The sequence below is a fragment of the Homo sapiens genome, chromosome 15 (assembly GCF_000001405.40).
Source record: "Homo sapiens chromosome 15, GRCh38.p14 Primary Assembly".
Taxonomy (NCBI): domain Eukaryota; kingdom Metazoa; phylum Chordata; class Mammalia; order Primates; family Hominidae; genus Homo; species Homo sapiens.
This window is the reverse complement of record NC_000015.10, coordinates 34,713,414-34,726,800: the sequence shown is the minus strand read 5'-3', so window position 1 is coordinate 34,726,800 and position 13,387 is coordinate 34,713,414. Positions and strand designations below refer to the sequence as shown.

The 13,387-nt window shown below is 43.0% G+C and overlaps 1 long non-coding RNA gene across 1 annotated transcript, besides 1 other annotated feature; it reads right to left on the bottom strand.

The window, feature by feature from the left end:
- Positions 1 to 1,937: 1,937 nt before the first annotated feature.
- On the bottom strand, positions 1,938 to 4,738 carry LOC124903463 (uncharacterized). Its single transcript, XR_007064579.1, has 2 exons — positions 4,564 to 4,738; positions 1,938 to 3,267 (listed from the first exon to the last, which is right to left on the bottom strand). It is a non-coding gene; the product is annotated as an uncharacterized LOC124903463 (long non-coding RNA).
- Positions 4,632 to 5,133: an enhancer, noted in NCBI's record as "H3K4me1 hESC enhancer chr15:35013869-35014370 (GRCh37/hg19 assembly coordinates)". NCBI's record gives its function as "activates a minimal SCP1, AML or CMV promoter by ChIP-STARR-seq in naive H9 embryonic stem cells {active_cell/tissue: H9 hESC(naive)}" and the evidence as "EXISTENCE:reporter gene assay evidence [ECO:0000049][PMID:30033119]".

Below are 13,387 nucleotides of genomic sequence, written 5' to 3'. Positions count from 1 at the left end.
TTTAATTCAGGCTTTTAAAATGCAGAATACCCTTTGCCACATGGAACAGTTAGACGAGGGGTTCTCCACCTGGAGAGATCCAAACAAACAAACAAACTTGAAGCCAGGACTCCACTTCCAGATATTTTCTTTTGATAGAAACATAGCATGAATATGGTTTTAACACTCTAGTGATTCTAAAACACAGCCAGGATTGAGAAACATTCCTCTGGCCATTCCATGACAATGACCCACATAGGATCAAGACATTCCTGAATTAGCCTACAAATTCTGAGGCTTAGATTCCTGCAATTCTCTTAGACATAGTTTTGTCAAAATAAGGCAGAGCCCCCATTCTCCCATCTCTTAATCTCTCTTTTTTTGTAGCGAGTCAGGAGTGTTTTTTAAGGAACTTTCTTTCCTCCTTTTCGTCCATGTTCCTCTGGTCACTGTCATCTTCTTTTTCTTATGTTCGTCCTTTTCTATTCAAAGTATGATCCTCAGACAACCCCAGTGGCATTACCTGGATGCCTGATTGAAATGCAGAATCCCAGGCCCCACCAAATAAGACTCTGCATTGCAATAAAATCCCAAGGGGACTTTTTTTGTACTTTAAAATTTGTGATTCACTGATCTATACCACATCTAAATGGACCCCACTAGGATAATGCCCTGACCCCGGGACAGTTAGTGTGCAGAGGGGTAGGTGTATCTGTTCCTTCTTTCATCTCCTAAGAAATGAGGTCATTAGTTACCTACCATAAAGGCTACTCTTCCATGTTAGTTAAGTAAAAATTACATATAGTGTGTATTCAGAGTCAAATATATACATATATAAAAATGGGGAGAGAGCGAGAGAGAAGGAGAGACCAGCCAGTTGTCTCTGCAGTTGGTCAGACAACTGGTTGATGGGGACAGATGGGTGTGGGGAGGGGAAGGAGGTGCATCAGAATGCCAAAGCTCAGCACTAAATTATGTACTCAATGCACAACAGCTGAATATATGAGCTATTCACATGCCATCCACATTTCTTGAGTCTCTTGTTTCTGCTTGATTTGGCTTGGGTGTCTCCTAGCACGTGTTGGTTGGGATCTTTTTCTTTTATGGCTTAGTGGCTCAAAGGCAGGTTACTGGCAGCTGGGTCTGAGCAATGCCTTAGATATTTGACTGTTTCAGTAGGACATGTCAGGGGACTCATTGATCCAAAATAAATCTCTTGAGCTCATGCTGCACTTCATCGCATCATTATTAGTTGAGAAAGGAATCTCTTGGCATTGAGAGTAGAAGCCTAGGGAAGCTTAACTCAAGATAAGGTTATTGTCTGTCCTCTCATATTCTCTCACCTTGGTCACCACCATTTAGTGAGGTCTGTGTCCCATGTTCCAATAGGAGCAGCATAACAGTACTTAGCATTGCAATTGAGAATATTCATTTTGGAGTCAGATGAATTTTGCTTGACTCCTACTCCTGCCACATTGAAGCTTTAACTTTAGATATGCTTATTCTTGAATATTAGCATCAGTGTTCTTTTCTGCAGAATAAGAACAGAGAACCTGTCCCATGTAAATATTGTGAAGATTACATATACAGTACATAGCATTGCATCTGGTACATAGAAGTGCTCCATAAATAGTATTAATATGATCATTGTTATTCTCGTAGTCTGCATTAAACACATTAGCAACTACTGTTGATCCAGAGTGAGTCTGGGATTCCCTTAGGGATTGCAATTTAATCTCATGCATAGTGTTCTCTGTAAGTTTCTTGGGGGTATTATAAGCATGAAGAACATAGGCACCCTCCTCTTAAAAATAGTAATTATGTTCACTTATATACAGACATCTAGACATCTGAGGAAACACTCTTTCTGAAAAAAAAAGTTACAAGCTAGAGCAGTATTGGGAGATTCTTAGGTATCCAAGAATGTACAATCAAATTCAAGTCCTAATGCAAAAGGATTTAGCATTGTGTGTATATTTATTTACAGAAAGCTGATAGCAAAGTTTATTCATTGTGATCATTTTTGAGCCATGCTCTAGTTCCAAACAAGTGCTAGACTGCATTTACTGTCCCCCAGTTTCTCTGTGACAGTTCCAAGTCAGCCCTTACTGGAATGCCAGAGCTTGAAGGCAAAGAGTTTGAATCCCCTGATGCCAGGTTATTCTTGGCAATAACCCACTTTGGCCCAGATAGACTCATGAGGCTCTGTCCTCTTTATTTGGGACTGGAACCAGGAGAGAGTTATTCTGTGTAGAGTAATGTAGGCATGGAGATCTCACCTGGGGACACTCAGGGGCGCCCCTGCAGATAATGAAGGGGCAGGATGGGATCACTGTGATATTTAAACTATTTTCTTTAAATAACAGAATCTTTTTTTAAAAAAAATCAAGCAATGAATTACCCCCAATATATAAAACAAATACCAGTCCTTTGTTCTGATTGATAAGTATGCATGTGTGCATAAGGGACTTTTGGAGGCTCTGCTTTCCAAATATTCACTGCTATGAGTACTCATCACACATACATACACATATTCGGTGGCCTCTGTTGCTTGCCACCAAGGAATCTCAAGGCTCCTTTAAACATTGTTTAAAAATCACTGCAATAAATGATTTTTAAGGCATAGTCAGCTCCTGTTTTCCATGATACCAATGACCAACTATAGCTTCAGGTAGATAAGAAGGGGTTCTGTGTCTTGGAATGAGAATGGGATAGAGTCTATAAGAGAAGCCGAGGCTCAGAGAGAGAGAGAGAGAGAAAGCCTGTGGTTGAAGCAGAGAAAAAGCCAAGGGCCAAGGGAAGGGCTGAGTGTTAGTGGAGGTGGAGGCCAATCGCTAGGAGCAGACAAGGCGGCGGGGGACTGTTAATGAGTTCTCAGTCCTGAAACACAAGCCATTAGCCCACCCAAGGCAGTGTTTGACTGTCATCCATTTGTGGTCTGGATTGATCATTAACCTTCAAAGGACCAAATATACTTCCACATCCAGCTTGGCAAGACATTCATCTTGTATGGTTGGTATCCAGCATAGGCCCAGTCAGGAGTCCTGGGAGGTTAGCAGAGGGCAGAGGCCAGCAGGATGAGCCCAAGTCTCCTTTCAAAAGAAGTCCAAGTAGAATCCAAAAGCTCTTGGTCTTTCGAACTGTCATTTGCATTGATGAAGCATGTGAGTGAGAGCATTTTAGAAGCTGTAGTACTTACTCCCTACTCTGGGATCTGTAAGATATAAGTCTGACATTTGGCCAAAGATCTTCTAGGACATATCATTGAGTCTTAGAGAAATGGATGGTCTACATAGAAGCAGAGAAAAACAATAAGTAGAAATTGGGGCTGGGTACGGTGGCTCACGTCTGTAATCCCAGCACTTTGGGAGACTGAGGTGGGAGATCACCTGAGGTCAGGTGTTCGAGACCAGCCTGGGCAACTTGGCAAAACACTGTCTCTACTAAAAATACAAAAATTAGCCGGGCATGGTGGCAGGTGACTGTAATCCCAGCTTCTCGGGTAGCTGAGGCTGGAGAATTGCTTGAACCCAGGAGGTGGAGGTTGCAGTGAGCCGAGATTGCACCACTGCACCCCAGCCTGGGAGACAAGAGAAAAACTCTGTCTCAAAAAAAAAAGAAAAGAAAAGAAAAAAAAAGAAATTGGGTTAGGCAGACATGTTAGAAGGATTACAAAATTAAAAAATTTGGGGGAAATAATCCCAACCACTTTTAAAACGAAGCCAAGAATACCCACAAAAATAGAGACAATCGTTTACCCTTCTAAATGTCATCCTAACATCCCTCTCAGATATTTAAAGCTTTGGTATAAACATATCAAAACACTGTATACTGCAAATAGATACAATTTGTATTTGTTAATTGTACCCTAATAAAGCTAGGGGGAAAACATACCCTAAAAATTAATCAAGCAAGCAGACTTTAGATTTGTTAAATTTTCTGGCAGAATCTCTAATATAACCTGCAAAATGCTCTTCTCCGTGACCCAAAATATGCTTCTGTCCCTGGAAGGGACTGATACCTCCAAAGGAGTGTTGTAATGTCACTGAGTCTGATTTTTAAAGAGCAATTGCAAAATTGGGCTTTCTAACCCACAGTATCTAACTACTGTTTTTCCTTCTTTTTCCTCTCCTCCCTGGCACAGCTAGAGGGTGCAATCTGGGAATGAATCACTGGGCTGCTCTGTCCCAGTCCAGTGTAAGCAGGAGATCAAACGGTCAAAAGATTATGGGAGTGGGGCTGGCCGGCCAGGCCATAATCTCCATAAGGTCACAGAAGTGCTGCTTTCACATCAAAAAATTAGACTTCCGGCCCCTAAAATTCCCTGAGACTGAGTGGATTTCCTTTTCCTAATTGAGAGGCCGGGGTGGTAATTTATTCCAGCCCCCAGTTCCACCGTGGAGTGGACTGGGGAGTGGATTTAGCAGAAAGATTCTGGGGCAAGTGGAGTGGCGGGGAGGCTGGAGGGTGGAGTGAGAGGTAAGAAGCGGATTGGATTTGTAAGGAAAGTGGGGTAATTGAAGTGACTTTCTGGATTCTAAACATAGCCTAAGCAAGAAAATTGGGTTTCTCAGAATGGCCCACCCAAGACATTCCATCGGCTCCGGCCAGTCTAGTTTTGAAACGCCTAAGGCGTCAACAGGGAGCGGCTGTCTGGGTTCAGCTCCTCTCTTCTCATTAGGGAGCAGGGTGGGGTGGAGCGCAGGGTGCTGGCGGCCTGCGTGAGCGCCAGCCCTGCACGCTGCCTCCGCCGGCGCCCAGCATCTGCTCGCGCCGCCTGCCCAGAATAGAACGTCTCATTGTGATGGATTAATCCTTTGGCTCCGGTCCTGCCCGGGTCACCAGCTCAGCCTGCGCCCGCCGAGTGCTGGGGCGGGGGGGGGGGGTGGACAAAGGGCACTTTAACTCATTCAGCACATTCCCTCTTCTCTCCTGCAGAAGGGCCCTCTCCAGTTGCGCGGCCCTTGTATAGAAGCAGAGATGGTCTTGCAAGGTGGCGGCGCCTCCAACAAGGGGACTGTTTGCTTCCTTTTAATTGGTTCATGGACTCCTGGGGGCGGAGAACCAAATTAAGGGAGATCTTTTCCTTTTTCTGATCCCTCTGAATATTTAATTTCTACTTCTTGTTTAACCTCTCTGTATTTATTTTAATTTCCTCATCTGTAAAAGGGGGGTAATGATTTTACTTACCTCATAGGACCATTACTATGATTAAATGAGTTAATACATACAAAGTGCTTTCGACTTCACAAAAGGACAAATATTGTACCAGTCCACTTATATAAGTTTCTGGTGTCGTCAAATTCATAGAGAAATAGAAAGGTGTTTGCAAGGGACCCGGGGGAAGAAGGAAATAGGGATTACTGTTAAATGGGCGCAGTTTCAGTTTGGGAAGATAAAAAGTTGTGGAAATGGATAATGGTGATGGTTGCACCACAAGGTGAATGTACTTAATGTCACTGAACTGCACACTTAAAAATGGTTAAGGTGCTAAAAGGTTATGTGTATTTTTTCACAATAAAACAAATACACACACATACACACACAATGTGCCAGGTATATAATAGGCGCTATATAAAGGTTGGCTATTGTTTATTATTATTATTCACTTTAGATACTTATTATTTCCCACTTCATTTGATAAGTTTTTACGTCTATATCTTTTCTCCCAAAAAAGCCTCTTGTTCATGCATTAGAGTTTCTGTACCTCACTTAACATAGCAATCTTGATCTTGGGCAGCTCCAATCCATCCACAAGAAATGAATAAATGAATGAATGAATGAGTGAGTGAATGTGTTGGACCAGGAAATAGAATATCCCAAAGTAACTTATGTAGCCCTTAACCTTCTGACTGATCGAGGAGACAGTGCCCTCCATCAGTGGATAGTCCTGAAAATAGCCCAGACAAGACACTTGGAAAAGCTCCCACAGAGTGATGCTGATTGCTGGCTCTATGATTTTCTTCTTGGTGGGTTGGCTCTGAAGCTTAGGAACGATCAAGGTCAACCTAGGAGAGCTGCTCAGGGACCCACCTTTGGGTCATTTTGTGTTTGGAGGACTGTTTGGAGACTGAGTCCAAACAGCAGGTACCCCCAAGAGTTTGAGCTCACCTCAGAGTAGCCTTGAGGTTCCATTCAATATTCACTGATACGAGGCTCCTAAGGCTGGCCCTTAAGTGACAGAGCTTTGGAGGAAGAAGCAGGGAGTTGTGCATCCTACCACTCATGACAACATACATCCTTTCAGCAGGGAGCCCTTTCTCCTTTCCTCACTCTCCTGTCTCACCCCATCTGGTGTGAGCAAGCAGGAGAGAGCCAGTCTGTAGCCTTCAGTAAATGTTACAAACCTAACTGTGCTAAGTTAAGAGACATTATCAAAATGACCCAGGAATCACCTGAAAGGACTGGACAGCTCTGGAAATGAGTGAATGCATCTTGTAAGCAAGGAGAAAACTAGAGGGATCCGTCTGGGACTGAGTGCACCAAAACTCTTGTGTCTCTCACGGTAAGCATTGGGCTATTTTTGTGTGGAATATTTTCACAGGCTCATTGGTGCTGTGAGGCTTCACCAGAAAGCAACAGTTCACCTTGTAGGAGACTGAAGTTAATTTTCGGGGACCTTAAACAACCTTTGGCCCTGGCTCAGGAGGCTGGGGAAAGAGAAGGAATTGAGTGTCACTGGGCAGCAGGAATGAAAAGCCACAAGGCAGATGATTAAAATGGTGGCTGAAAAGGGCAATGAGAAAAGATGAGCCAAAGGCTTGAAGATTATGAGAGAGCACCTAGTGCTGCTGGAGAAGGGCAGGGGGACAGAATGTGTGTTTAGGCTCCGGTCCCAGTGCCGCCATTGACCTGAATAGTCTGTGCCCCAGACTGACCTCCCACTATACACACTTTGGTCTTATAAAGTGGGTTTGGTTTAAATGCCCAGCCAGCTAGAGATTACAGATGAGTCACTGTGTCCAAAGGGTTATACCTTCTGTGCCACCTTGGGAAGGCACTTTCTGCTGAGTAGGCCCAAATGCAGCAGGTGACAAGTCACCTTGTCAGCCAAAGGCTCCCCTTTGAAGACACCCCATGGGGCCTCTGCAGGGACAAGGGCAGAGCAGTATGTAAGAGCTTGGAACGTGACCCTTATCTGAGCTGCTGTGACTTTAGCTCCTGTGGATAGGATTAGATGCAAAGATGCTGCCCTCACAGGGGTCCTGAAGCCATTTGGGCTCTGAAGATTATCTTTATATGCACAAATAACACACACACACACACACACACTCACATATCCCCCAAACAGCACCTGGGACCAGCTGACAAAGCCAGGTCTGGGATCTGATGGGGCTTTGTTCCAGAGGAGGATGGAATTGCCTGCCAGAAATAGCAAGCTGCTGCTTTCAGCAATGGGGCTGAGGTACAAAATCCATGTGCACTTTGTGTGCAGACAGAAACCTGAAAGAAAAACTAATTCAAATAAAGGTATTTGACAATTAAGCTAAAGCAAGGAGAGGCAGACAGGCTCAGTGCCCAGATAATCAAGAAGCAGTCATTTCTAAATCCAGCTCTGCTGTTGGTGACCTTGAACAAATCATCTCACCTCTCTGTTTCTCCATTTCTCTAAGGTTAAATCAAGAACTATAATTCTGACCAGCTAACCAGCCACACAGAGTTTAATTGGGGGAAAAGAGAGAGAGAGAGAGAAAGAGAAAGTTAATAAAACTGTTTGCCTATATACAAAGTACAAAATGTTAAGTAAGGAATGCAATAAAGCCTCCTCAGTGACATTTGGATATGTACATTGTAACTTCCTGTCTCCAACCCATACCTTCAGGCTAAGAGCTCTCACTAATTCAAGCTGAGATACACCCACCCTCAACACTGAACACCCCACAATGCTGCTTGTCACAGTGAAAATGGTGTAATGAAATAGAGCACACAACCTCACATACCCCAGCTCCAGCTAATCAGGCAAGCCTTTAGGATGGACACCCTGTGGGGTAAGAGTCCAGGATTATCATTCATAAACATCTGTGATTCAGGCTTCTTATTTTGCTCAGATTTCTTAGAGATTTTTCTCTCCTCATAGTCCCGCAACTACAGTATCTGCATAAAAATAAAAATTTCACCATTTTATTAATTGACACTTAATTTACCTAAGGACTAACCATTTTGGAATTTGGATCTGAAAATATTCAATTATTCTGCGCTTGACAGAGGCAGAAATAATGGTTTCTCCTGAGCCCCATATTCTACTCAAGGGGATTGTACATTACAAACCAGCTTTAATTCATTCCAAAACATATCTATGAATATCTTCCTAATGGCTTACGTATTTGGATCTTTGTGGGGATGGGGTGTGAGAGAGAGGATGAAAGATTTGCATAAGATCTATAAATTCTATCAAGGAGTTGGGTCAGGGTTGTCACTTATATAAAATTTTCATCTATGTCTGCTAGCCAATTTGTTTATAGAATGAAACCTAGCCTTTTTGTTCAGTGCTCTACAGAGAGATTAATCTAGTATGTTTTTGGTTTACTTTGGGTCCATGCTCTAAAACATCACAGCCAGATGCTTTGTAAAGAAATGGGTTGATTTCTCTGTAGCCATTGTAGTTATTCCCATTGTTGTAAATATTCTGCACGTATGTGTTTTTTCTTCAGGATTTTAATATAAATGTCTAACAAGGTGGCCACCAGAAATAATAAGCTCTTGACATTTAGCTCCCCGTCTTGATTCCCTGACACCAACTTTCCTTGTCAGGAGAGCCCACAGAGCCTAAAAGCAAGGACATTTGAGCCTTTACAGATTAGCAGAGCTGAGGGATTTGTATGTGTATCTTTAAAATAGCTGAGGTGTCAAACAGGGCTCAATTTTCATGCAGGACATTTATGGTGAAGAGTCTGGTAAGTTACTCACATTGCTTAGAGTATTTATTTATAGTAAATTAACTATTGCAAAACTTGGACTCAATTTATTTCAGAGGCTATAGGGAAGTCAACCTCACCTCAGAGGGAGCAGTTGCACAAGCATGCAAGTGTTTATGCATGTGTGTGCACACACGGGACATAGACATCATCCAAACACCTTCTTCAAGTTTATGCTGCCTTATAATAATAACTTAGAGAAATTCAGAAGGGTTGTCAGAATCAAACATCCAAAGACTTCATGTAGAAATAAGGCTGTGTGCCTTATTCTAAAAAAAGGGATTTTTTTAAGCCACTTTTGCCCATTCGTGCCTAGCTTAGGATGGGGCTTCCCTAGATGGAGCCAGGAAGGGTGTTTCAGCCTTCCTCATCTCCTTTCTGGGCCTCCTTGTCTCTCATTACTCACTTTTCCTCCCAGGTCATGCTATCCACGGCCCCATTTCAAATACCCAGAGCTCTCTTATGGAACTGGGGCTGAAAGCAAGCTGGAGAAGTCATGACCAGTAAGATCTTAGGGGTCAGTTGTAGAGGGGAGGTGCCCTTTGAAAGGTTATATATGTTAAAAGAGAAGCCTAAAAAGGTGGAACTTAGAGGAACTATATTTTTAAGGCTGGAATTGCAGGTGTCTTGGCAGGATGGGGATGGAGGAAGAGGGATATGATTGTTTTGGAAGGAGAGGTATCTTCTTTCCAGCGCCCTCAAAAACACACTCTGTGTGTCATCTTCTATTCTTCTCCTTAGAAAGCCACTGCTTGGGCCGGGCGCGGTGGCTCACGCCTGTAATCCCAGCACTTTGGGAGGCCGAGGCGGGCGGATCACGAGGTCAGGAGATCGAGACCATCCCGGCTAAAACGGTGAAACCCCGCCTCTACTAAAAATACAAAAAATTAGCCGGGCGTAGTGGCGGGCGCCTGTAGTCCCAGCTACTCGGGAGGCTGAGGCAGGAGAATGGCGTGAACCCGGGAGGCGGAGCTTGCAGTGAGCCGAGATCCCGCCACTGCACTCCAGCCTGGGCGACAGAGCGAGACTCCGTCTCAAAAAAAAAAAAAAAAAAAAAAAAAAAAAAAAAAAAAAAGAAAGCCACTGCTTGGTCATTCAAATGAAAGGCACTTTGAGTGTTTTAAAAAACTAGGTTTCATTTTATATTGCTTGATTCTTTCTCAGAACTTGTGCCTAGGCTTGAAAACATGTTTATCGGTAAACATTAGACATACTTTTAGCAACAAGCAGTCTGGTAAACCTTTCCAGGGTTTCTGGCAGATCTGCTCAGGGCAGCCCATTTCTGCTCTTTTTTTTTTTTTTTTCTTTTTTTAACTCTTTCTTAAAACAATTGTCCTCCAGGAAACCTACCTGGTCCTGCCAATCACATTACTGCATCTCCTGGGCAATCTGGATCAAATAGTTAAACACTCCACGTTAAAGGGAAAATGCACGCAAGTACACTCAGCACAATGACCTGCACATGAGAACTTCTAACATGCTGGGGACCGTGAGGTTTCTGCCTGAGGAACAGCACGGTCCTGTTTTGAAAGATGAGGGACAGCATGGTCATCAGGGAGGGCTGAAGGGCAGAAAACACCATGTACTTTCCACTGTCTGTCCAAGCAGTCCTGGCAGCTGGACAGGGCAGAGATGGCTGGAGGCAGTGAGGGCACGTCCGTGCACCAGCTCTGAACCTCTTGAGCCATAGAAACAGTTCAGTTGCGAGGAAACGTGTCAGTTTGTACACACGTGACTTCCATCACCCATTTACAAAAAGCAGTTCTCAGAAATGATTATTATGCACATTTAACTTTTCAAGCTAGAGCTGGTTTTCATACTCAGTCAATCCAGGGAGAGAGTAGCAAGGTGCTGAACAACAGGTTTTAAGGTATAAATTAATTCATGTTGCTGATCATGTTTTGATCTGGAAAACATTGACCAGCACTATTGGTCTGAAAAAATGATGAACAGGTCTCAGGCTCTCACTGGAGGTATTTCATTGGATGCAGGCTTTGCCACCTTCCCTGTAGTTTAACTCAAACTCTTTTTACCCCTGGGTTCTTTGAATGAACTCAAGCCATTTCTATGAAGTATTCTGTATGGATTAATCTATCAAGTTAACTCTGTCTGGTTAACCTGTTTGTCCTTCACTTTCCTTCCCACGTAATTGTTATTTATCTAACATCACTTAGATGGCAGAACTTGGAGAGCATTGTTTGCTATTACTGTGTTTTGGTTGAAAACCATTTTTCAAGAGGTCCCATATAATGCAGCTCATGGAACCTAAATTCTGGTTTGGCCTCTGTCCTTCTGTGTGATTTGAGCAAATCTCTTTCACATTTTTCTGTCCCAGTTCCTCTGTGTCTGAGATGAGAGTGTAATTTATCTTCCTCTCTCAGGGATGCTATAAGGTAAGGAGAGAAGGAAGAGAAGTGCTGAGGCTATGACAATAAGGTCCTCCAAGAAGGTGACATTGGTTGCCAGAGAAAGTCACTTTGATTAGGAGACATGGGTCCTGGATTTAATTCCATCTATATAGACTTTCCTAAAGCTAGAGGGATCAAGCAGCCTGGACATGGATGTGACATATAAGTATTCTTGTATTGCACAAGCTATACTGCCAGTAGATTCCTGATTTTTTTTTTTTCATCACAAGATCCCTAATGCCTGGCAGAGAGGAGGTGTTCAATAAACACTTGTGGAATAATTGGCCAACTGACAGATTGACAATACCCTTTTCTGGACTTCAAATGCAGCACCCTATATGCAGTAGACACTTAATAAATGTTTGCTTGATGATGTGCTATTGTATTTAACCATCATTGCACAGTATTTGGAGCCTGCTGTCAACTGATTTAGCATTGCACTGTCCTTAAGATAAATAAGAGATGGTGCTCAAGGCTACCCACAACAGCACCTTATTAGCAAAGAGGGTGTAGATATCTACAAAGTGCAGTGATAGGGAGTGGCATTCTGTGGCTTTACTTGGGGAGCCCAAGAGATTCCGGAAGTTGCTAGACAGTCCTTGTTGACTCTAAAGAATGGATGGATCTATTCTTTCAGTGCATCACTGGGCAAATAAGCCTAACACAGCCATATCTAGTTATACCAAGTCAAGACTCTCACTGAGGTCCTAATCGTCAGTGTTTATTCAGGAAACTCAGAACCATGTTTACACTTGCTTCTAAGTTTTTCTCCAGGTTGCACAGTGAGGGAGCATACCGTATTTACTGTATAGCTCCAGGATTCCACAGCAACTGCAGGGGGCAGAGGCTGCAGGTCCACATACTACGCATGTGCTTTATCTGAGATGTCCCGTGCCTTTGGTCATCTCTCATCTGCAAGTTTTTATGTATATTTGACCAACACTTATCAAGAAAGTCCTTATACATAAACTGCCTTATGTCTGCATCTGGTTGCAAGTATGGCCATGCTGTCTCCTCTTTTCATTTGACAAAAATGCATTGTATGGAAATTCGTATTAAAGGAGTAATTATTCTGGTTGCTACCAAATTCACCAGCCTCTTGAAGGTAAATGATAACTGATCATAGAAGTAGAGATTGGGGTAAACAGAAAAGACTCCAAGTTTAAGGACATTATCAGAAAATGAAAGGGGGAAAGTAACATGAAAATCGTGACAAAAGGCAAGGAGAAATTCAGACTAGATTCACCTAAAGTGATGTGCATCTGAATGTGATGATTTCTGAAAAGCTTAAGAATTTTAGTTTTAACCACCAGCTTATTGGAATAAATATTTTATAAGCCTCTTAAGGAGGCTGCAGAAAGTCTGTGCCTCTTTCCAGCAAGGTGAGCACTGGTTGCCTGCATCTGTGTTGGGATGGGTGAAAAGTCTAGCTTGTAAATGCTTCAAAGGAACAATTATTATCAAGCTACTGAAATAAAAGTGGATTTTCCAAAAGCCCCTCTTGCCCCCTCTGCTCCATCTGCTACATGTGCTCAGGGCATTGCATGGTTCAGCATTTAGAACACTTCAATCATTTGAGGGGAAAGTGACCTTCCCCCAGCTTGGAAAACCTTGTGCTGTGACCTAATGAGGACATTCCATTGAGACCTGAGAGTTAGGAACACTTTCTCCTCTGGGCTCTGATGTGCTCATGACATTTGTGAACCAGTTTGGCTCTTCCACTCCTGTGCGTGCCTTCACAGATAATGGCCCATCAACAATGGAATTATAGCCTTTTTTTATATGTGCCTGTATAATGAAGAGGGTAATTCTAAAAACTACATCTGAAAATTAGTCTCATGACTGTTATGAAACATTGTATATTGAAATTACATTTGTCTTTTCTCTCCTTTGGGCTCATAAGTAAGTGCCTTGGATTGAAGCCCTTTTCCTGGTGTATAATAGCCTCCCTTCCTTTTTCCATTCCTTCAAGCATCACTGAGCTCTAGCTTCTGTCAACTTAGTCCTAGATGTTAAGAGGAGCTTCCACATCTGCCTCCCTGCCTCTAGTCTCTGTCTTCTCAAAAGGCAGCCTGGCCACCTCCT